This window comes from Homo sapiens, chromosome 16 (genome assembly GCF_000001405.40).
Source record: "Homo sapiens chromosome 16, GRCh38.p14 Primary Assembly".
NCBI classification, from domain to species: domain Eukaryota; kingdom Metazoa; phylum Chordata; class Mammalia; order Primates; family Hominidae; genus Homo; species Homo sapiens.
In genome coordinates, this window is record NC_000016.10 from 22109912 (window position 1) to 22134265 (window position 24354).

The following is a 24354-nucleotide window of genomic DNA, read 5'->3' on the forward strand; positions in this document are numbered from 1 at the left end:
TGGATGGAAGAGCTATTCTGGTTTCTTTGGAGTTATGGTTCCCATTGGATACTCACCAGCTCTAGTTTGAGAGAAGTGAACAGGCTGGTGTTGCTCATTGCTCCATCCCCAACTCACATCCATAGCAGAGAAGCTAAGAACTAGAGTCAGATGGCTGGAGTCAAATCCCAGCCACCTCCACCAATTCCAGGCCATGTGACTGCGTTAACTAATCTCTCTGTGCCTTACTTACCTCCTCTGTAAAATGGGGATGATAACCCTAAGTGGCTACCTAGGGTTGCCATAAGGGTAAAAGGAGCTTGTGCAAGTGAAGTGCTTAGTGAGAAGTCTGGCCTAGAGAAAAAGCCTCTGCAGCGTGATGTGATGTGGACAGGCTATTTTCTTACGGGTACCATGGCAGCAATAGCCAGTTGTATTTTGTACAGGTCCTGCAGAGCCGTTATGAGGCTCAGTGTGGGGCTGTCCTCCAGACTTGTCCCCTGTTCCTGGTCTCAGTGGATGTCAGGGGACAGGTGTCAGAGCAGGCTCCCCCTTCATGACAAGTCCTCAGGACGGAGTTTCCAAAGATCCCCCAGGTGGAGTGGTCTACTATTAGCCAGGGCAGAGCTCATGGGGGTGGCATACAGGTGGAATTTCTAGCTGGCCAGGAAGAAGAGGGAGAAGTTATGGATACTCTCCAGCTCACATGCCTTAGAGAGAAACCTCTGTCCTCCCTCTCTGGGTGCCACAGGTAAGTGCCAAGGGTCCAGCAATAGCACATTCTGAGATGGCAGCCCAGATGCTCATCCCACCCACAGGAGGCCCGGCAGGCAGGAAGCAAATGTCGGCTTGGGGCTGGCTGCTAAGCCCAGCCTCGAGCAGCCCTATTCAGTACAGCTCACACCCAGCCCAGAGGGGCCAGCAAAGGCCAGAGAGGCAAAGCCAGGCTCCCGATTCCCCTGGCTGTGGGAGCCAGTGATGTCCTTTTGTCCAACAGAGCCTCATCGATGAGCAGCTGAGCCACAAGGAGAAGCTGTTTGTCCTGTCCTTTGGCACCAATGCCGGGTCCCTCTGGCCAGACCCCATGGAAGTCAGCGCCTCCACGTGAGTGGCTTTCCTACCTGACGGTGATGTTCACTTGTTCATTTTCCTCCCTAACCAGCAGAGTCTTTATTGAATAATTCAACTGCAAACCCCAGGACCCTACTAGATAAGTGAGTACAAAGAGACAACTCACAAAAGCAGAAACAATTTTTGGAAAGATGTCTACCCTCGTGAGCGGTTCATAAACTGACAGATAAGGTGACCACAAGACACTATTTTTATCCAGCAAAGTAGCAAAGATAGTTTTATTATTGTGAAAATAACACATGCATGTTTTTTAAAAATTCCAACAGTATGAAAGGATGATAAATAATAGCAAATGAGTCTCCCTCTTTTTTTTTTCAAGACAGGATCTCATTGTGTCTCCCAGCTTAGAGTGCAGTGGCACAATCATAGCTCATTGCAGCTTTGACATCCTGGGCTTAAGCAATCCTCCCACCTCAGCCTCCTGAGTAGTTGGGGCTACAGGCATGTGCCACCACACCCTGCTAAGTTTTTATTTATTTATTTAGACAGGGTCTCTGTTGCCTAGGCTGGAGTACAGTGGTATGATCTCGGCTCAATGCAACCTCCACCCCACGGGTTCAGGTGATTCTCATGCCTCAGCCTCCTGAGTAGCTGAGATTATAGGCATGCACTACCACGCCCAGCTAATTTTTGTATTTTTTGGTAGAGACAGGGTTTCACCATGTTGGCCAAGCTGGTCTCGAACTCCTGACCTCAAGTGATCCACCCACCTCAGCCTCCCAAAGTGTTGGGATTACAGGCACGAGCCACCACACCCAGTCAGTTTGTTTATTTTTGTAAAGATGGGATCTCGCTATGTTGTCCAGGCTGGTCCTGACCTTCTGGCCTCAAGTGCTCTTCCAGTCTTGGCCTCCCAAAGTGCTGGGACTACGGGTATGAGACACTGTGCCTGGCCCAAAACAGTTCCTTATATCCACTTCCACAAATAATCTTTGCACACACATGCATCTGTGTGTTTACCTTCTAATTTTCACATAAATAGGACCTACATAACACTGCTCTGTACCTTGGCTTTCTAGCTGGTCTTGAATTTCTTTCTCTGTCAGTGCATACAAATCTACCTCATTTGTTTTAATGGCTACATAGAATTCTACTGCAGGGATGTCTTTTAGCTGGGGGTTTCTAGCCTGGGGTTTTTTTGAGGGACAGGAGGGAGGTATGTAAGAATTTCTACTTATCCAGTGAGTAGAAATTTATTTTCCGTGAAGGGAATGTCCTCGATTGCCCACCATGTATTGGTTACCATACTAGGTACTTTGCATAGATGATTGTATTTAGTATATAATAGCCACCTCATGGAATAGGATTATTATCCTCATTTTGCTGATGAGGAAATGCAGACTCAGGTTAGGGAAGATGCCCAAAGTGGTAGAGCCACGATGGGATTCCAGATCCCAGGAAAAGGCACATGCTTTGGCCAGGGCCAGTTGCTCATGCCTGTAATCCCAGGACTTCGGGAGGCCAAGGTGGGAGGATCGCTTGAGCCCAGAAGTTTGAGACCAGCCTGGGCAACCCAGTGAGACCCCATCTCTACAAAAAATTTAAAAATTAGCCCAGTGTGATGGCATGTGCCTATAGTCCCAGCTACTCGGGAGGCTAAGGTGGGAGGTTTGATTGAACCTGAGAGGGAGGTCAAGGCTGCAGTGAGCTATGGTTGTGCTACTGTACTTCAGCCTGGGTGACAGAGAGAGACCCTGTCTCCAAAAGTAAAAAGTTAAAAAAAAAAGCATGTGCTTAGATTTCTAGGACGGAGGCCCCCTCACCAGCACTAGCTGTAAAGAGGGGCCCTTCCAGATAGAGAAATGCCCACTTCTGGCAGCTCTGGCTTTGAATCCCAACCCCAACAGTCACTACTGGGTGGTCTTGACAAGTCCCTTATAACTCTCTCATTTGCAGAACAAGGCCAATCCTACCCACTCTTCACAGGACTGTTATGAAGATGAAATGAAAACAAAGTACCTGGCTAGTGCCAGGTACTCAATGAACAAGAACGTTTTTTACTCTGATTTCCACTTTAGGTGGAGCAGTGACACCTGGGTTGTTATGGATGGCAGCCAAAAGTTCTGCATCTTCAGGAACTCCTGGAATTCTCTTGTCATAACCCTATGTCATATCTTTACCATGTGTACTATTGTTTATTTTATTTTTTATTTATTTGGTTTTTTTGTCTTTTTGTTTGTTTGTTTTTGAGATGGAGTCTTACTCTGTCACCCAGGCTGGAGTGCAGTGGTGTGATCTTGGCTCACCACAACATCTGCTTCCTGGGTTCAAGCAATCCTCCTGCCTCAGCCTCCCAAATAGCTGAGATTACAGGTGTGCTCCACAATGCCTGGCTAATTTTCTTTTTTTTTTTTTTTTTTTTTTTTTTTTTTTTTGTATTTTTAGTAGAGACAAGGTTTCACCATGTTGACCAGGCTGGTCTTGGACTCCTGACCTCAAGTGATCCGCCCTCCTTGGCCTCCCAAAGTGCTGGGATTACAGGCATGAGCCACTGTGCCCAGCCTACCATGTGTACTATTGTTGATTTTTCTTTACTTCAATTCTATTTATTATTGAAAGAAACTTTTTTGTTTGTTTGTTGTTTTTTGTTTTTTTGAGACAAGGTCTTGCTCTGTCACCCAGGCCGGAGTTCAGTGGTACAATCATAGCTTACTGCCATCTTAATCTCCTGAGCTCAAATGATCCTCCAGCCTCAGCCTCCCCAGTAGCAGGGACTACAAGGGTGTGCCCAGCTGATTTTTTTAATTTTTCCTTTTTTGTGGAGATGGGGTCTGGCTATGTTGACCAGACTGGTTTTGAATTCCTGGCCTCAAGTGGTCCTCCCGCCTCAGCCTCCCAAAGTGCTGGGATTGCCGGCATGAGCCACTGCTCCTGGCCTGAAGGAAACTTTCTATCAATACCATAACTGAGAAGCTCATATCACTTGCATGATTATACTTCTATAATCATGCAATTATATTTCTATAATTAGAAAGCAACCATATATCTTTCTTTAATGGCTTTGAGAAAAAAAAAAAAGAAAGCAGCCATATAAATAAATACGATGAGAGCAAAACAGTGGTTTTAAATTCCAGCTTAAATCTATTGGCTAGAGAAGGTGCTAGACCTGGGACTTATTCTCGCTGTTCAAAAGGGAGACTTGACAGTTATGATCATGAAAGATGAACTTATTAGCACCACACTGAGATTTTCTCTTTCAGATTTTTGATTTTTTGAAGTAGAAAGAACAGACCTCTTTCACTAGTGCTATGCAAAATTTTAGCCAAGAAAGAATCAAGTTATTTTTCTTCTCACCAGTTGTGTGTACCCCAACCCATGTGGGACATAGCCACACAGCCATAAAGCTTTCTCTTAGAGCCTTCTTAGGGTCGCGGAATTAACTCCATGCCTCCTGTTGAGGGCTGGCTCCCAAGAGAGTGGGTATGGGTAAGAAGGAACTCAGCCCCAGACCCTCACATAGCACAATTTCTAAAAGCTCAGATCTTAGAGTCAGACCTGGTTTGAAATCTCAGTTTTAACAGTTGCTTACAGTATCACCCTGGGCAAGTCCTAACTCAGTTTCCTCATCTACAAAATGGGAATAAAGGTACCACCTCAACAAGTTATCATTAGGTTTAAATGAGCTAATATTTGTCCTGGGCCTGGTACCTAATACTACAGGCCAGCTGCAGGGGCTCACACCTGTAATCCCAGCTGTCTGGGAGGCTAGGGAGGGGGACCTCTTGAGGCCAAGAGTTCAAGACCAACCTGGGCAACACAGTGAGACCCCTATCTCTCTATTTTTTTTTTTTTTTTTGAGATAGAGTCTCACTCTGTTGCCCAGGCTGGAGTGCAGTGGCAGTGGCACAATCTCAGCTCACTGCAACCTTCCGCCTCTGGAGTTCAAGCAGTTCTCCTGCTCAGCCTCCCAAGTAGCTGGGATTACAGGCATGTACCACCATACCTGGCTAATTTTTTTGTATTTTTAGTAGAGATGGGGTTCACCATTTTGGCCAGGCTGGTCTTGAATTCCTGACCTCAAGTGATCCACCCACCTCGGCCCCCAAAAGTGCTGGGATTACAGGCATGAACCACCATGCCCGGCCCTCTACAGAAAATATAAAAATTAGCCGGGCAGGATGCCACATACCTGCAGTCTCAGCTACGTGGGAGGCTGAGGCAGCAGGATCGCTTGGGCCCAGGAGTTCGAGGTTACAGTGAGCTATGATTGCACCACTGCACTTCAGCCTGGGTAACACAGCAAGCCCTTATCTCTAAAAAGAAATTAAAATGAAATTCAATACAAACAGTCTTATAATTAGGTTGCTGTTGTTGTCTCCTCCCAGCCTCCAGGAACTTAAGCTCTGGGTAAAGACGCTGCAGCCTGATGGAGGCAGCAACCTGCTACAAGCTCTGAAGAAGATCTTCACTCTCAAGGGACTGGATTCCCTGGTGGCCATCATGAGAAGCTGGTAGGTCTTCTTTCCTAAGCAGGTGACATACTACATGAAAAGGACTGAAAAACCAAACCACTTTTTGAGAAAAGATTGGCTTGTCACAGTGGCTCATGCCTGTAATCCCAGCACTTTGGGAGGCCGAGACAGGAGGATTGCTCGAAGCCAGGAGTTTGTGACCAGTCTGGGCAACACAGTGAGACCCTATCTCTTAAAAAAAAAAAAGACAAAAATTAGCTGGTCATGGTTGTGTGCACCTGTAGTCCCAGCTACTTGGGAGGCTGAGGCAGGAGGATTGATTAAGCCCAGGAGTTTAAGGCTGCAGTAAGCTATGATTGTTCCACTGCCCTGTAACCTGGGCAACAGAGTGAGACCCAGGGAAGGAAGGAAGGAAGGAAGGAAGGAAGGAAGGAAGGAAGGAAGGAAGGAAGGAAGGAAGGAAGGAAGGAAGGAAGGAAGGAAGGAAGGAAAGGAAAGGAAAGGAAGGGAGGAGGGGGTGGGGAGGGAGGGAGGGAGGGAGAGAGAGAGAGAGAGAGGAGAGAGAGAGAGAGATAAGAAAGAAGAAAGAGAAAAGATCATCAACCATGGCTCTTCACACATACATGAGGGAGGGATGGCAGTCACAGGCAGAAAGAAAGAGAGAAAGAAAGAAAGAAACAAGAAAAAAAGAAAGGAAGGAAAGAAAGGAGAGAGAAATAAAAAGGAAGAAAGAAAGAAACAAAGAATGAAAGAAGGAAAGAAAAGAGAAAGGAAAGAAGGAAGAGAAGGAAGGAAAGAGAAAGGAAAGAAGGAAAGATGGAAGAGAGAGAAAGAAAAAGAAAAGAAGAAGGAAGGAAAGAAGGAAGAGAGAAAAAAGAGAAAGGAAGGAAAGATGGAAGAGAGAGAAAGAAAAAAGAAAAGGAAGGAAAGAAGGAAGAGAGAAAAAAGAGGAAGGAAAGAAGGAAGAGAGAGAAAAACAAAGGAAAAAGGAAAGAGAGAGGAAGAGAGAGAGAGGAGAAGGAAGGAAAGAAGGAAGAGAGAGAAAGAAAAGAAAGAGAAGGAAAGAGAGAAAAGATCATCAACAATGACTCTTCACACACACACGAGGGAAGGACTACAGTCACAGGCCACCCACCCATCTGCAGAGGAGGCAGAGGGCAGACAGGCCTGCAGTCCACCTAGCCCTGCATGCCACATAGGTGACCTGTGACACAGGTGGCCAGTTAAGAATGGGTAGATGTTCCTTGGGAATTACCGTTTTGCTCTGGAATGTTCTCAAAGTGGTCTGACCTGGGATTTCCACTTCTCTTCTGCCTTCTCCACAGCCCAGATCAGCCTTCTGAAATCCTGTCTGACTACATCCAGCAGTCCACCATGGGAAGAGACCTCATCATCCACTTCATCACCTACAGATGCGATGATCAGATGCCCCCTGTGAGTGCCCGAGATTCTCTGAGGTGCCCCTTGGCTTTGGTGGTAGTGAGCTGGGCTGGCCTTTGAGGCCTCATGCTTGGACAGGCCCCCGAGCTGTGGACCAGAATGCACCTGTCCCTGTGCCTGGTTCTCCCTTTGGTAAAATGGGAAGCTTTGGATAATTGGGAGGTTCAGTCAAGGAGAAGGCTTACTGGAGTATTGGTGTTGCCCTAGTGAGGCCTGACCCTGGCCTCATCCCTGCAGGCTGTCCTGAAGAACCTTGCAGAAGCTGTTAGGGGCTACTACCACTGCTACAGCCCAAAGATGGAGGTAAGCCCTTCTGTCAACACATGGCCCCTCTTCTTCTCTCCTTGTCTGCCTCCAAGGTTGTACCCAGGAGATCTGGGCCAGGACCATACTATATACTTGTTTCTCCTTTTCTCCTTGTCCCCACCTGTATTCAATGAGGTTACACAGGTAAAATCAGGTTAGAATGAATATGTGGGAAGACCAGGGACAACCTGAAGTCACAAGAGATGCTTTGATCAGCCTGTATGATGCATTGATTGAATGCGTGGGAGCCCAGAGGCCTTTTAAAGCCCTGCCTGCAGAATCCTCAGTCTCACTCCAGTTGCCGTTAATATAGGCCCCAGCCTAGCTCTGCTCCCACCAAAGCACTAAGTCTGAATTGCCTCGATTTTCTCTCCTAGATCAACTCCTGCTACTGCAGGGAACCCACTGCAGAGCGAAATGAGCAATCCATTCTGTACCGATCCATCCATTACTGTCCTTGTCCCAGTTAATAACTAGACATCAGCCACCCTGTGTTCACAAGGGAGGCAACGATTAGCAAACATGTGTGTAGATCCATTTGGAAGATTAAGAATGCAATCATCTGGTTGCTCCCAGGCTGTGTCTTGCCTACCATTAATAACCATGAGTAAATGAGTGTTTGCATCTCACAAGTGAATTCAAAGGTCACAAGGTCCCTGCTTTTCATAGCAGGGAGCCAAGCTCAGGCAGCACTCTATCTTGATACCTCATCATCTAGACTCTCTCTGCAGGTGACTCAGACTACAGAGGTTAGAAAGGTAAAGTAAATGACTGAAACTGACTGGTTTAAGAAATATTTTATCTTAAAACCTGTGGCTTGACCAGGCATGGTGGCTCATGCCTGTAATCCTAGTGCTTTGGAAGGCCGAGACAGGAAGATCATTTGAGGCCACGAGTTTGAGACTAGCCTAGGCAATATAGTGACAGCCCATCTCTACAAAAAATTTAAAAATTAGTCTGGTGTGGTAGCACATGGCTATAGTCACAGCTACTCAGGAGGCTGACACAGGAGGATCACTTGAGCTCAGGAGTTTGAGGCTGCAGTGACCAATGATTGCACCACTGCACTCTAGCCTGAGTGACAGAGCAAGACCCTTTCTCTAAAAATAATAACAAAATAAATAAATTATTATTATTATTATAGCCATCCTAGTGCGTGTAAAGTGTTTCTTTACACTTTTACAGTTAGAAAACTCTTCAATTGTTTTAAAACACAGCAGGTCAGGATGGGTGCAGTGGCTCACACCTGTAATCCCAGCACTTTGGGAGGCCGAGGCGGGCAGATCACAAGGTCAGGAGATTGAGACCATCCTGGCTAACACGGTGAAACCCCGTCTCTACTAAAAATAACAAAAAATTAGCCGGGCGTGGTGGCGGGCGCCTGTAGTCCCAGCTACTGGGGAGGCTGAGGCAGGAGAATGGCGTGAACCCAGGAGGCGGAGCTTGCCGTGAGCCGATATTGTGCCACTGCACTCCAGCCTGGGTGACAGAGCGAGACTCCATCAAAACAAACAAACAAACAAAACACAACAGGCCAATTGCACAAACGGAGCACAGCATGTCTGCAGGCTCTGTCTGGCACATGGGTCCCAGTGTATAAGGCCTGGTGGAGAGAGTCTGACCCTCTGCCTGGGCATTGGCCTGGCTGCTTGCCCCTTCCTGGGTTGACCCCTGCAGGTAGTCAAGTGATTCCGGATGTCTGATTGCTCTTGCCACCCTCAGCACTACACCAGCCGGGACATGGATGAGCTCCTGGCAGAAATTCAGAAGGCCCAGAGCCTCCTCAGCCACGTGCAAGCCCTGCAGCACAGCAGCCCCTGTGAGGCGCTCACCTGCACCATGGAGGAGGTAGGTGGTGCGAGTGTCAATTCTGGGGCCTTCTCCCAGCAGCACTCAGCTGGCCTCGTTCCCCTTTCTCACCTGTTCATAGGGGGCACAGCTGCCAGTGCCTGTCACTTCCTAAAATCGAAACAAGGCAAGGCCCACCCTCCATTGCACCCCAGAGCTCTGAGTTGGGTGGGCTGGGTGGGCCCACCATGGTACCGGAAAGATTCTGGTGGATTTACTAACTGTAAAATTTATTTCAGAGAAAGACCAGCAGGCTCCTGCCACCCTCTCTATCCTGTCACTGTCCCCTCCCTTACCCCCAGTTTGGAGAATGATGAAAACCTCAACCACCCAGAATAGGCTGCCTTTAAGAGAGTCATTCTCACCTCAGCCATGGCTTACACCTGAAATCCCAGTGCTTTGGGAGGCCAAGGCCAGAGAATCGCTTGAGTCCAGGCATTCAAGACCAGCCTGAGCAACATGGCAAAACACCGTCTCTACAAAAGATTAAAAAATTAGCCAGGCACGATGGCATGTGCCTGTAGTTCCAGCTACTCAGGAGGCTGAGGTGGGAGGATGATTGAACCTGGGAGATTGAGGCTGCAGTGAGCCATGATGGCACTGCTGTGCTCCAGCCTGGGCAACAGAGCGAGGCCCTGTCTCAAAAAAGAATTTTAAAAATATACAAATACAATAATAACAATTAGTATTAGAATTATAATAGTTCTTGGCCAGGTGTGATGGCTCATGCCTGTAATCCCAACACTTTGTGAGGCTGAGGCAGGTGGATCGCTTGAGGTGAGGAGTTCAAGACCAGCCTGGCCAACATGGTGAAACCTCGTCTCTACTAAAAATACAAAACTTAGCGAGGCATGGTGGCAGGCACCTGTAATCCCAGCTACATGGGAGGCTGATTCAGGAGAATCTCTTGAACCCAGGAGGCAGAGGTTGCAGTGAGCCTAGATAGTCCCACTGCACTCCATCTTGGGTAACAGAACAAGACTCCCAAAAAAAAAAAAAAATTATAATAGTTCTCATTTATTAAGTCCTCATTATGAGATAGGCACAATGTTCAATTATTTAAATGCTTTATCTTAACACTCTGAGGTAAGTATGTTATTACTTTTTATAGATGAGGAAACCAAAGTTAAGAGGTTACATAACTTGCCTGAGATTGCAAAGATAGAAATAGATTGAGTTTGGATTGAACCCAGGTCTAAGGCCCAAAACCTTGCCAAGAGTTTCCCAAAATGAAGTGCATGTACTACTTGTAGTTTGCAAGATGATTTTAGGTGGTGCATGGATTAAATTATTTTTTAAATGGTATCTATTTAAAACTAGCTCATTATGGTCATCATAGATCTTCTTTCTAAAATTGTGAAAGGGATTGAATTTTTAAAATTAAAGAAAATTAATAACTAAAAAGCATTAATGTTACATATTGATTCTTAAAATATTAATAATAATACAGTAGCACTCAGATATAGCAAAATTCATGAAGGCAGTGCTCAAATCTCTGAAGTTTGGGACTTGCTGTTCTATTTTTACTTACACATTCGCTATGTAATTTAATCTCTCAGCGCCTCAGTTCTTTACTTTGTCAATGTGGCCACAGGGTGGCCAGGTGGGAGCTCACTAAGTGATTTGCTGCAGGAGTTTTTAGGGGTGACCTGTCACCTTGGAGTCCATGGTGCTGATCTTCATGGTAAGGTTAGGGAAGGAGCCAGGAGCATGGGCCACTGTGAGAGCGAGTTGCTGGGTACTCCTTCCTCTTCCCCTGGAAATTCCAGAAATCTGCAGAGAAGGGGAGGGGATGATGGAAGGGAAAGGCAAAACTGCCTTTAATCTACCAGGGAGTGTTTAAGAAGCTCCACTTGCATTGACTGGGTGGAGGGTGAAGACTGAGGACTTTTCAGCTCTAAAATATGATTATGTAATGAGGGCTTTCTCATTTAACTTAGATTTCCACAGAGATTACAAATGGGCCACTCATAAGCCTCTTGCCTAAACCCCCAAAGCATGACGCTCCTCTCACCATTGAGTTTCCAAACTTGGACAAGACTTCTGCAGAGTGGCTTAAGGTCAATGGTCTGAAAGGTAAATCTCCAAAGAGGGCAGAACCCAGGAAACAGGTGACTGACTAAAAGGCTTGAATCCGGCCGGGCACAGTGGCTCACACCTGCAATCCCAGCACTTTGGGAGGCCAAGAAGGAAGGATCAGTTGAGGCCAGGGATATGAGACCAACCTAGGCAACATAGCAAGACCCCATCTCTATAAAAAATAAAATTAGCTGGGTGTGGTGGCATGCACCTGCAGTCCCAGCTACTCAGGTAGGCTGAGGCAGGAGAATACCTTGAGCCCAGGAGTTTGAGGATGCAGTGAGTTATGATTGTGCCACTGCACTCTAGCCTGGGTGACAGAGCAAAACCCTGTCTCAAAAAAATAAAAGGCTTGAACCCTTTGGAGCTTCTCAGGCAGTGCCTCCAACCTCACACTTTTTTTTCAGCCAAGAAATTAAGTCTATATCAGGTCCTGGCACCCAATGCATTCTCTCCTGTGGAGGAATTTGTACCTATTCTCCAGAAAACAGTATCATCGACCATCCATGAGGTAATTCAGATTCATAATTCTCTCCAGTCCTCCACAGGAGAGCTCCCTTGTGGCTTTTCCTACCTTCATAAATGTTCTGGCAGTAAGAATCACCAGGGATTCAGGCTTCCCACCCAGGACCCTAGAATGCACATCAAATCCACTGTAGCTGTTGGTTTTCAAAGATCTGAAAATTGAACTTGGGAGATGAGGCAAGAGGGATAAATCAGGTACCACGGTCACCTCCTCCATGAAGGTTTTCTCCTCCCAACTCAGACAGGACAGACTTGCTTTCTTTATGTCCTCGCTGTACCTAATGCAGACTTCTGCAATTGCTCCCATAAAGGATTAATGCATGAATTTTTACATATTTAAATCCCCATCAAGTATGAAGTATAAAGAGGGCAAACTCTTCTCTAACTCTCTATCCTCCATGTTTAGTATAAGTAGGAAATCAATGCATGTTTACTGGATGGCTGAGAAGGTAGTTGGAAGAAAGGATGGCAAGAAGAAGGAAAAGAATGATGGATGGATGGATGGATGGATGGATGGATGGATAGGTAAATGGATGAATGGATGGATGAGTGGATGGATAGATAGATGGATGGATAGATGGATGGGTGGGGGGGTGGGTGGGTGGATGAATGGATGGATGGATGGATGAGTGGATGGATGGATGGATGGGTGGATGGATGGATGGATGGATGGATGGATGCATGGATGGATGGATGCATGGATGGGTGAATGGATAGAAATCTGAACAGGTGGAAGGGTAAAAGGGAAAATGGAAGGATAGATGACAAAATGGAATAAAGGACAAGTGAAAGAATGAAAGTAGAAATTAAAGTAAGGATGGATGGATGGAGGAGTGAAAGGATGGAGAAATGGAAGGAAGGAATAATAGGTGAATAGAAAGATGGCAGAAAGATGGAAGACTGAAAGGAAGAGAGAAGAGTAAGGGACATGTAGGTCTAGCAGTGCATGGATGAATGACTAGATGGATGGAGTGATAGATGGATATGTTCACTTGGTGGAGGATGAAAAAACAGGATGAACAAGTTGGATTTTCAAAGCATCTGTAAAGGCCTGTCTAGGTTCCCAAACCTAAGAAGCTATGGCCAGTATATTTTAAGGTCTCCAACTGTGCTCTCTATTACTAAAACCCTCCAACCATATCTTCATGACTCTGATGTTCAGAAAAGCCTCTCGGGAAAACAGCCTGAGAGGCTTGCTGTCAGGTATCGTCCATTCAGGGGATCACTCTCTCTAAGGCTCTCTACTTCCAGTTCCAGACAAGGCAATGACCTGGTGGTGGTGGTGGTATTGGGGTGTGTGTGTGGTGGAGATGTGGGAGGGAGTTCGATCCGACCTCAAATGTGTTCAGAGTCCACTTCACTCTCCTGCACCTGATTTGGAGAACCAGTGCCCAAATTAAACTACATGTACTTCTGTTCGCCTGCTCACCCTCCTGCCCATGCCTGAGTATAGAAGGCAATGATACAATTTGAATGGCACGACGGGACAGTGAAGAACATTCATGTGGACCCACCCTTCCTCTATAAGTACCAGGTCAGTGATGGGTTCAATCAGTCAGAAAATGGGGTGCAGAAAGTGGGGACGGGAGGAAGGTTCCCTGGGCTATGAAGTCACCAAGCCATTGACTCAACTCCCTCTTGTAAAGAGGGACTGTGTGCTCCACCTACAGGCCTCCTGAAGCTTTGGCCATCTCCTCCCCAAGCAGGGACCTCAATGCCTTTAAAAAAAAAAAAGGCTTCTAATCCTCTGGGGAAAGATCTGCTTCCTTCCCCATTTGATGCAATGAAATACCGTGTGACTCTTCCCTTCCTGTTCTTGTGGTGAATTTGTTCATGATTTAGTGGAATGATTATACTGCCTGGATTCCCAGGGACTTGACACACCATTCCCTGAAGCCCACCCAGGTACACGTACTTCCCCTCAGGCCCCTTGGTTGCTCAGCCTTTGAGCAGCCGCTCACTGTGGCCCACACTTCTGCAGCAACAGCTCAGCAGAGCTATGCGGATGTATGAGAGGCGGATTGAGTGGCTCTCCCTGGCCAGCAGAAGAATCTGGGGCACAGTCTGTGAAAAAAGGTACCTTTCTTAAGCAGGGTTCTTATCCTTCATGGGTCTGGTGTGTGACGTGACATTTATCCGCCTCATGAATTCCCTGTTGGTAGCATCAGAAGCCATCACTTAGATTAGGGATTAGGAATCTCTCAGCAGAACCCCCAGAGGAGGAAAAAGTCACCAACACCATCACTGATGTCAATAATGTCATCATTGTGTCACTGAGCATTTTTGCAATCCCAGCACTTGGGGAGGCCAAAGCGGGAGGATCGCTTGAGGCCAAAAGTTTGAGACCAGACTGGGCAACATAGTGAGACCCTGTCTCTACAAAAAATAAAATAATTAGCTGGGCATGGTGGTGTACACCTGTAGTCCCAGCCACTTAGGAGGCTGAGGCAGGGGCAGGCGGGTCGCTTGAGTCCAGGGGCTCAAGGCTGCAGTGGGCTATGATCGTGCCACTGTACTCAAGCGTGGGCAACAGAGCAAGTCCCTGTGTCTACCACAAAAAAAAAAAAAAAAAAAAAAAAATCACACCTCCTCCCTGGCCAGAGCAAATGGGTCATGGATGAATAGATCCTCCCACCCAGCCAGAGGTGTGATGTTCTGATTGGCCAGGGTCAAATGCCCATCCCTGGAGCTTGGAGTAGGCTCAGCTTCACACAACTCAAATTGACTGATAGAGGCAGAGGTGTTTCCCAAAGGAAAATCAGGATGCTGTTGCCAGATGAGGTAATGGATGCTGAGTTGGGAGAAACAATAGTTATCTATTATGGCCATTATTATGATTCCATACCTTGTTTGATGAATTAACATTTACAAAGTATTATATTTTGTAATACTATACATCTATTATTATTATTATTATTATTATTATTATTATTATTATTATTATTAGAGACAGAGTCTTGCTATGTTGCCCAGGCTGGTCTCAAACTCTTGGCCTCAAGCGATTCTGCTGCCTCAGCCTCCCATCATGTTAGGATTGCAGGCATGAGCCACCGCACCTGGCCACTATACATCTATTATGTAATTTTGTTCTTGAAGCAACCCTATGATGAGTCTTACAAGTAGTTTATGGTTAAACTACTTAAACAAAGATCAGAGAGGTTTTGTGACTTGCCTAAGGCCACACAGCTGGTAGGAAGCGGAACTTGAACCAAGGTCTTCTGACTGTAAATCCCATAGATTTTCTTTTGCTATCCATAGCTGTCTCAAAATGAGAATGGGGCAGAAGGTGGGAATATAAGTTTGAAGTTCTAAAATTAGAGAAAGAACAAATAAGGCTAGAGATCTTAAAACAGAAAGAGAGCAAACAAAAAGATAAAAATATTTTCCAAGAGGCCCAGATACACCTAATTCCTTATGTTACTTGCTCACCTGGTTTTCGTTTTCCCTACGAAGACCCCAACCTATGGCGGGCATAGTGGCTCATTCCTGTATTTCCAGTACTTTGAGAGGCCAAGGCAGGAGGATCACTTGAGGCCAGGAGTTCAAAACCAGCCTGAGCAACATGGGCAGACCTGGTCTCTACAAAAAAAAAAAAAAAATTTAAATTAGCCAGGCATGGTGATGTGTGCCTGTGGTCCCAGCAACTTGGGAAGCTGAGGCAGGAGGATCTCTTGAGCCCAGGAGGTTGAGGCTTCAGTGAGCCACGATCGCACCATTGCACTCCAGCCTGGGCAACAGAGAGAGACCGTCTAAATATATATATATTTGTTGTGTGTGTTTTGTTTTGTTTTGTTTTGTTTTGTTTTGTTTGAGACGGAATCTCGCTCTGTCACCCAGGCTAGAGTGCAGTGGCGCGATCTTGGCTCACTGCAAGCTCTGCCTCCCGGGTTCATGCCATTCTCCTGCCTCAGCCTCCCAAGTAGCTGGGACTACAGTCGCCCGCCACCACGCTCGGCTAATTTTTTTTATTTTTAGTAGAGACAGGGTTTCACCATGTTAGCCAGGATGGTCCCAATCTCCTGACCTTGTGATCCGCCCGCCTCGGCCTCCCAGAGTGCTGGGATTACAGGCGTGAGCCACCGCGCCCGGCCTTATATATTTGTTCTTGAAGCAACCTTATGATGAGTCTTACAAGTAGTTTATAGTTAAACTACTTAAACAAAGATCAGAGAGGATTTGTGACTTGCCTAAGGCAATATACATATATATTTTTTCATATTCTGACCTATAAAAATATTGAATGCTAATTCTTTAAAATAAATCTGTGAAAATCATTATATGAAGCGCCTACCACTTAAACCATCTCCACCATGAGGCTTTATTCCATTAAAGCACCTCCTGGGAGAGAAGGGGGGCTTCCATGACCCCCTTAATCTACCATTGTAAGCCCACATCCGTTGGCCTCAAACCACAGAGAAGATTTTGGCCAGCTATGAATTTGGCATGCAAAATTCCCCTGGAAAAAAACTTTAAATAGTAAAATGGAACAAAATAAACATTATCTCAGAGATTCGGTTCTCCTCTTAAAGCTCGTGTTTCCTTTTAGGGTGGTTGTACTGCTCGATATCTCTGCGACCAATTCCATGTACATTATTCATATCCAGCACTCCCTGCGGCTGCTGCTGGAGGAGCAGTTATCCAACAAGGACTGTTTCAACCTCATCGCGTATGTGTCTCCTGGCTCCTGGGGGCAAGGGTGGGTCGTGTGTGTTTGGATGCCGTCATTGGGCTGAGGCTTTGGACGTTGCTGGACGATAGATATTGACGTCATGGTCACCCGGCTTCCTAGGATAGCCATCGGTTTATCTGATTTGGATGATCTTGTTTGGGGCATTGAATAATTAAATAGTTGCAGGACTGTCCTACTGGGGCGAAGGTGGTAAGTGACCCCATAACACACTGCTTGATCAACCAGGATAAAGTAATTCAGCCCATTGGCCCATTTGGCTTCCAAGATGAAATAGGAAGAAGAGGAAAGGAAGGACCCCAGCCATGCCCTAGTGTCAGTCCTCAGCCTGTCTCCAGCAAGCCATACCTTTTCAAACATTTAGGATTCCAATTCTGAATTTAAATTAAAACTGTATATATAAATTTGGCCAGGTGCAGTGGCTCACGCCTGTAATCCCAGCACCTTGGGAGGCCGAGACAGGAGGATCGCTTGCATCCAGGAGTTTGAGACCAGCCTGGGCAACATAGTGAGACCCCATCTGTGTTTTAATAAATAAATAAAATTATATGTATACATTTAATTATGTGTATATATATATAAATGGTATGCAATTTTTAAAACTGTATAATTTAGAATTAAATACAACAAAGATCAGAGAGGTTTTGAAGATTTGAACTTACTTCAAAATTATATATAGTTTTAAAATTATATATAGTATATATAGTTTTAAAATGTTAATATAGTTTTAAAATTATATTTTATATATAATTAAATATAGTACATATCTAGCATTTTTAATTTAAAAACTATATATATAGTTTGTTTTTGGTTTTGTTTTTGTTTTGAGATGGAGTCTCGCTCTGTTGCCCTGACTGGAGTGCAGTGGCTTGATCTAAGTTCACTGCAGCCTCCTCCTCCCAGATTCAAGCAATTCTTCTGCCTCAGCCTCCCAAGTAGCTGGGTCTACAGGCACACACCACCACACCTGGCTAATCTTTGTATTTCTAGTAGAGATGGGGTTCACCATGTTGGCCAGGCTGATCTTGAACTCCTAACCTCAAGTAATCCGCCTGCCTCAGCCTCCTAAAGTGCTGGGATTACAGGCTTGAGCCACTGAGCTCAGCCATAAAAACTATATATATAGTTTTTTAAATTGCATACTATTTTAACTAATAAGGGAAGACAGAGAGAAAAGGAACCCACTTAAAGTGTAGGTTTTTATACAACCTCATACCAAATAGGGCATTTTCTAAACCTATTAAGTCAACAGTTAGTATTAGATATTATTCTGTACCAGAGCCCAGTCATTCCTTAATAAACTCTATATAAAAATATTTATGGTAACATTATAGATAAGGAATTTTATTTATTTATTTACCCATTCATTCATTCAGCAATGTTTCATTGACAATCTGCATGAACCAGTCCCTGTGCCAGGCACTGGGGAGATGGACATGAAGACACACAAAACTCATCCTCGAGGAACTCATGGCCTAACAGTGGGAGACAGGGATGTTAAGGAGTGCTGTTAAGCGTTTTCTATAGAAATGAGTAGATAGCTAGGTATGGGACTGCAAGGTATCAGTGGCAGGATCAGTCCATTCCACTTGGGTGGAGTAGGCTCAGGACATCTTCATGGAGCAAGTGCCCCTTTTGCTGAGTCTTGATGAATAAGTAGATGTTTGCCTAGCACCTGGGAATGATGGGGTCCTAGGGAGAAAGGGTGTTCCAGGTAGAGGCAACAGCATGAGCAGAGGTGTGACGTATGCTAGAACCTTAGGGACCATCAGGTAGTTCAGCATGGATATGGGGCTGAGAGGGAGAGATTGTGCATGACAGAAATACCAGGTGATGGAGGATTGATATAGGCCATGCTCACGAGTTTCCTGTGCTATAGGATATAAAGGCACTGGAGGATTGCAAGCAAGGTACAAATACAATCGGGTTTGCGTCTTCAAATGCTCAAGCAATGCTGTGAAGGAGGAACTGAAGGGATGTAATACTGGAGGGAAGAGACCAGTTTGACTATTGCAATTGCCTGCCCTAGTGTTGAGTGGGCTTGAGCCAAGGCAATGTGAATGGAAGAAAGAGTGCGTGGCCAGTAAGAATGCCATATTAAAGTCAAAAAATAACAGGTGCTGGCGAGGTAGCAGAGAAAAAGGAGCACTTACACACTTGGTGGGAGTGTAAATTAGTTCAACCATTGTGGAAAGCAGTGTGATGATTCCTCAAAGACCTAAAAACAGAACTACCATTCAAAGTAGCAATCCCATCCCTGGGTACATACCCAAAGGAATATAAGTCATTCTGTCATAAAGACAAATGCATGTATATGTGCATTGCAGCACTATTCACAATAGCAACAGATGGAATCAATGTAAATGCCCAGCAGTGGTAGACTGGATAAAGAAAATGTGGTATGCATATACCACGGAATACTATGCAGCCATAAAAAAGAATGAGATCATGTTCTTTGCAGGAACATGGATGGAGCTGGAGGCCATAATCCTTAGCAAACTAACACAGGAATAGAAAATCAAATACAGCATGTTCTCACTTATAAGTGGGAGCTAAATGATGAGAACACATGGACACATAAAGGGGAACAACACACACTGGAGCCTATTGGAGGGTGAGGGTGAGAGAAAGGAAATCAGGAAAAATAACTGATGGGTACTAGGCTTAATACCTGGGTGATGAAATAATCTATATAACAAACCCCCATGGCAGGAGTTTACCTATATAACAAACCTGCACACGTACCCCTGAGCCCAAAATAAAAGTTAATCAAGAAAGAGGTGCATGGAGGCTGGGTACAGTGGCTCACGCTTGTAATCCCAGCACTTTGAGAGGCCGAGGCGGGCGGATCACGAGGTCAGGAGATTGAGACCATCCTGGCTAACACGGTGAAACCCCATCTCTACTAAAAATACAAAAAATTAGCCAGGCGTGGTGGTGGGCACCTGTAGTCCCAGCTATTCGGGAGGCTGAGGTAGGAGAATGGCATGAACCTGGGAGGTGGAGCTTGCAGTGAGCCGAGATTGCGCCACTGCACTCCAGCCTGGGCGACACAGCGAGACTCCATCTCAAAAAAAAAAAAAAAAAGAAAGAAAGAAAGAAAGAAAGAGGTGCATGGAAGAGATTTTGGGGAGTTAGAATCTACAGAATGTCATCACTGGCTGTAGGGGGTGAAAGAATGGTGAAGAGAAGATGATGTCCCAAGAAGAACAGATCTCTGAAGGGAAAGATGGTTTTAAACATCCCGAGTCTGAGACACTCAAGAGTTTGGAGACATTAAGAGGAGGAGGAGCTCCAGTGAGGAGACCTAGCCAAGAAATAAGGGGTTTTGAGCCATCAGCATTTTGATTCTATGAATGAAATAAATGGTAGTGCAGGGATCGCACCTGTGGAGATGCGAAGAGGAGAGAGAAGACAATCAAAGGCAGCACTTGGAAGACACCAGCATTCGAAGGGTGGGCAGAAGAAGGGAACCACCAAAAGAACACAAGAAAGAAGAACCCAGAGAGGTGGGAGGAAAACAAGAGAGAAAGGTGTTGGGATGCTGTGTTAGTCCATTCCTGCACTGCTCTAAAGGAGTACCTGAAGGTCGGGCGCGGTGGCTCACCCCTGTAATCCCAGCACTTTGAGAGGATGAGGCATGTGGATCACTTGAGGCCAGGAGTTTGAGACCAGCCTGGCCGACGTGGTGAAACCCCGTCTCTACTAAAAATACAAAAATCAGTGGGTCTCAGCGGTGCAGGCCTGTAATCCCAGCTACTCAGGTGGCTGAGGCATAAGAATCACTTGACCCAGATTTATTATCCAACGATAATAGGGATATATTTCCACTGGTGGGGGAATGGAGGGCATTCTTTATCTCTACCAGGGAATGCCCCCAGGGTGGAAGTTTGACTGCAATAGGTTGAGGAGGTGAGGAAGTGGTGGTATACTGTGTTTCCAGGGAGCTTGTCCACAAGGGGAAAGAGAAAAGAGCGAAGTCACTCATAGAGTAGCTTCCCAGGGGAAGGAGGATGTTCTTGTTAAGTATAGAGAGTCTGAAACAGGTAGAGAGGCGCGGGGCAGAGGGAAGTGGAGAGAAGTTGGGAATGTGTGGATGTGAGGGAGGAACTGTGGGGCAAAGTCTCAGAAGAGATGGGTGATGAGGTCAAAGGCCAGGTGGAGGAATTAATCTCAAACTAGAGAGGGGACAACTTTTCCTTCATAAAGGGTATAAATCCTCTTCTCAAAGATCTTAAATTCTGTCTTACAGGACAAATGAGACAATGTGGGTTTTCTGGATTTGAGGATTTGTTTGTTTTTTGAGATGGGATCTCACTCCATTGCCCAGACTGGAGTGCAGTGGCACAATCATAGCTCACTACAGCCTCAGCCTCCTGGACTCAAGTGATCCTCCCACCTCAGCCTCCTAAGTAGCTAGGTTGACAGACATGTGCCACTATACCCAGCTAATTTTTTTTATTTTGTAGAAATGGGGTCTTGCTATACTGCCCAGGCTAGAGGTATATTTTTTTTCTTTGCCAAATCCTGTTGATTACATAGATGTGTATTTAAAAAAAAAAAACAAACTATAGTATGGATAGGGAGGGGAAATGTGCAGTGAGAGAAGCCATGCTAGGGGAGGTTAAAGAGGGGGCCACACGCCATAGCTCAATGCTTCAGAAAGGAAGCTGACCAAAGCTGGCTCACACTGTGTCTTGGCTGAAGTATGTTGGGACATATGACCCACAAGGAAATCTCATGGCTGGCCCAGGCCAGTGACATCCTCACATTTTAGGGGATCTCATCAGAATTTTGTCCCCACTAAAAGCCTGCAAAGCCCAAAGAGGTGGGCCACCAAGTGGACCTCCCCCAGCCTAAGAACGAACTCTCTTTGCTTCTTAAAGGTTTGGAAGCACAATTGAAAGCTGGAGGCCTGAGATGGTTCCCGTGAGTCACAACAATTTACAAAGTGCCTGGCGGTAGGTTATGGGCAGAGACTTCGTGGGGCTGTGTCTGAGGGAAGGTTTGCAGGCATTGTTTTCTCTGTCCCCCTCTCCACCAAGAAGTAGCTCTCTAGAGTCCCTGACCCCAAACAGCCATGGGCAGAAATCAGAAAACAGCTTCCTTCTGTCTGCTGCTCTCCCCACCTGGCCATCTTCACTTTATGAGAGTGATGACATCGACTCCATCACGTCTGAGATGGAAAAGGCTCTCAGCTACTCCCAAAAGGTATGCCCTGGGCATGGGCCAATGACCCTCAGCATGGCCATCTCTGCCTCCGCAGGTGGGCCCTGAACCTGCGGTGTCGGGGCAGCAGGAACGTTCTCAGCGCCCTGCGGAAGGCTGTGGAAGTAGACTTCAAGGACAAAGACAAACACCAATCGCAGGGAATCTACCTCTTCACTGGGGGCATCCCCGACCAGGACATGGTGGGTAGGCCACGTCCTGGGTGTCCATTATCCTTTGCGACCTCATCCGTCTTCCCCCAGGTGGATACCTTGCCAAGGTTTCTGCAGCATGATTTCTAAACCAGTGCTTCTCAAACTTTAATGTATAGACAAGCACCTAAGGATGCTGTTAAAATGCAGGCCCTGGAGACCAGCCTGGGCAATATAGTGAGACCACATTTCTGTAAAAATTTTTAAAATAACCTGCCATGGTGGCACATGCCTGTACTCCCAGCTACTCAGGAGGCTGGGGTGGGAGGATCTCTTGAGCCCAGGTGCTCGAGACCAGCCTGGACAACATAGCAACAAGACCCCATCTCTACAAAAATAAAATTTAAAAAATTAACCAGATGTAGCCAGGCACAGTGGCTCATGCATGTAATCCCAGCACTTTGGGAGGCTGAGGCAGGCAGATCACCTGAGGTCGGGAGTTTGAGGCCACCTTGACCAACATGGAGAAACTCCATCTCTACTAAAAATACAAAATTAGCTGGGCGTGGTGGCACATTCCTGTAATCCCAGCTACTCGGGAGGCTGAGGCAGGAGAATCGCTTGAACCTGGAGGGGGAGGTTGCGGTGAGCTGAGATCACACCATTGCACTCCAGCCTGGGCGACAAAAGCGAAACTCCATCTCAAAAAAAAAAAAAAAATTAACCAGGTGTGGTGACATGTGCCTGTAGTCACAGCTACTTAGGAGGCTGAGGCAGAAGGATTGCTTGAGCCCAGCAGGTCAAAGCTGCAGCAAGCTATGTTTATGACCCTGCACTCCAGCCTAGGCAACAGAGCGAGACCCTGTCTCTTTAAAATACATACATACATACATACATACCTACATAGTGCAGATCCTGGTTCAGTAGGTCTGGGGTGGAGCCTGGGAGTCTGCATTTCTGGCAGGCTTCCAGGGGATGTGGATGCTACTGGTCTAGAACATGCCTGGTATCAGGAGGCTCTCAGGTCCAGCTCCCCAACCACACTCTGTTAAAATATTGAGAGAAACTGCAACCCAGCCTCATCTCTTTCCATCCTTGTGCCAAGGACTGGACCAGGCACAGAGAAGGCCCTGGAGAAACATGGCCAGGCTGGGCTGCCCAGAGCCCCACAGCTTCAAGGCCCTCAGCTGCTGGCCCCTCCTACCTTCTCTTCCCCACCAGCCTACACTCAGTGCCTACATGGCTGAGGCCTGTGGCGGCTGCGACCTCCAGCTGAACGTGTGTCTCTTCTACGTGGGCGAGCCAAAGATGGACACCACACCCCCTGCCCGCTATGCCAGTCACACTGACACAGCCGCCGCCTACAAGGAGGTCACCCGGGCTGCAGGTGGCCGCTTCCACTGGTTTGGAGACACAGGTACATGACTGTTTCCTCATCCCTTCAGCTCATTCCAAACAGTTGTCTCAGCACCAGCATAGCTCCCTTAGACCACAGATGTATTCCAGAAAAGCAGCTTGTGAAAATCACATTTTAAAATGTAAAACTGTTCCTCTGAAGATAGATAGCAGTGATGGTTGAACAACAATGTGAATGCACTTAATGCCACTGAATTGTACAATTTTAAGTGATTGAAATAGTAAGTTTGATGTTATGTATATTTTACTGCAATTTTTTTAACTTAAAAGAAGTAGGCCAGGAACAGTGGCTCATACCCACAATCCCAGCAGTTTGAGAGGCCAACGTGGTCAGATCGCTTGAGATCAGGACTTTGAGAACAGCCTGGCCAACATGGTGAAACTCTATTAAAAATACAAAAAAATTAGCCGGGTGTGATGGCACATACCTGTAGTCCCAGCTACTCGGGAGGCTGAGGTACAAGAAAATCGCTTGAACCCAGGAAGCGGAGGTTGCAGTGAGCAGAGATCACACCACTACACTCCAGCCTGGGTGACAGAGCAAAACTCTGTCTCAAAAAAAAAAAAAAAAAAAGAAGAAGAAGAAGTAAAACTCTAAAAGTATATTATGAGTCAGGTGGTGGCTCACACCTGTAATCTCAGCACTTTGGAAAGTTGAGGCGAGCGGATTGCTTGAATCCAGTTCAAGACCATCCTGGGCAACATAGCAAGATTCTGCCTTTACAAAAAAATTAAAAATTAAAAAATATATAATTTAGAATGTCATAGAATGTCAGAGCTAGAAGGCACCCTGAACATCCCTTAGATTGTTTTTCAAAGGGTGGTGTGTTCACAGCACATGGTTGGCAAGATAGTTGTACATGGTACAAAAAGCAACATTTTTTTTAGAGACGGGGTCTCCCTCTGTCACCCAGGCTGGAGTGCAGTGGTGCCATCATACTTCACTGCAGCCTCAACCTCCTGGATTCAAGCAATCCTCCCACCCCAGCCTCCTGAGCAGCTGGGACTACAGGTGTCCACCACCACGCCCAGTTAATTTTTTAAATTTTTTTTTATAGAGAAGGGGTCTCACTATATTGCCCAGGCTGGTGTTGAACTCCCAACCTCAAGCAATCCTCCCTCCTCAGCCTCCCAAATGCTGGGATTACAGGAGTAAGCCACCATTCCCAGC

General features: G+C 46.2%; 1 protein-coding gene across 18 annotated transcripts in view; it reads left to right on the forward strand.

The window, feature by feature from the left end:
* VWA3A (von Willebrand factor A domain containing 3A) overlaps window positions 1-24354 on the forward strand; it is a 64424-nt gene that overhangs the window by 17371 nt on the left and 22699 nt on the right. For 10 of the 18 annotated variants that reach the window (XR_007064857.1, XR_007064856.1, XR_007064855.1 and 7 more), the window contains 14 exons: window positions 977-1083; window positions 5436-5561; window positions 6848-6956; window positions 7200-7265; window positions 8991-9116; window positions 11057-11192; window positions 11603-11706; window positions 13174-13254; window positions 13563-13625; window positions 13702-13796; window positions 16267-16386; window positions 21294-21368; window positions 21674-21818; window positions 22989-23184. Coding sequence is in view for 15 of the 18 variants with exons in the window: in XM_011545742.4 (XP_011544044.1) it covers window positions 977-1083; window positions 5436-5561; window positions 6848-6956; window positions 7200-7265; window positions 8991-9116; window positions 11057-11192; window positions 11603-11706; window positions 13174-13254; window positions 13563-13625; window positions 13702-13796; window positions 16267-16386; window positions 21294-21368; window positions 21674-21818; window positions 22989-23184 (1549 nt within the window). In the remaining 3 variants the exon portion in view is untranslated. Of the gene's footprint in view, window positions 1-976; window positions 1084-5435; window positions 5562-6847; window positions 6957-7199; window positions 7266-8990; window positions 9117-11056; window positions 11193-11474; window positions 11707-13173; window positions 13255-13562; window positions 13626-13645; window positions 13797-16266; window positions 16387-21293; window positions 21369-21673; window positions 21819-22872; window positions 23185-24354 lie in introns of those variants that run through there. The other 8 variants (XM_047433629.1, XM_047433632.1, XM_047433631.1 and 5 more) reach the window with 5 other exon arrangements.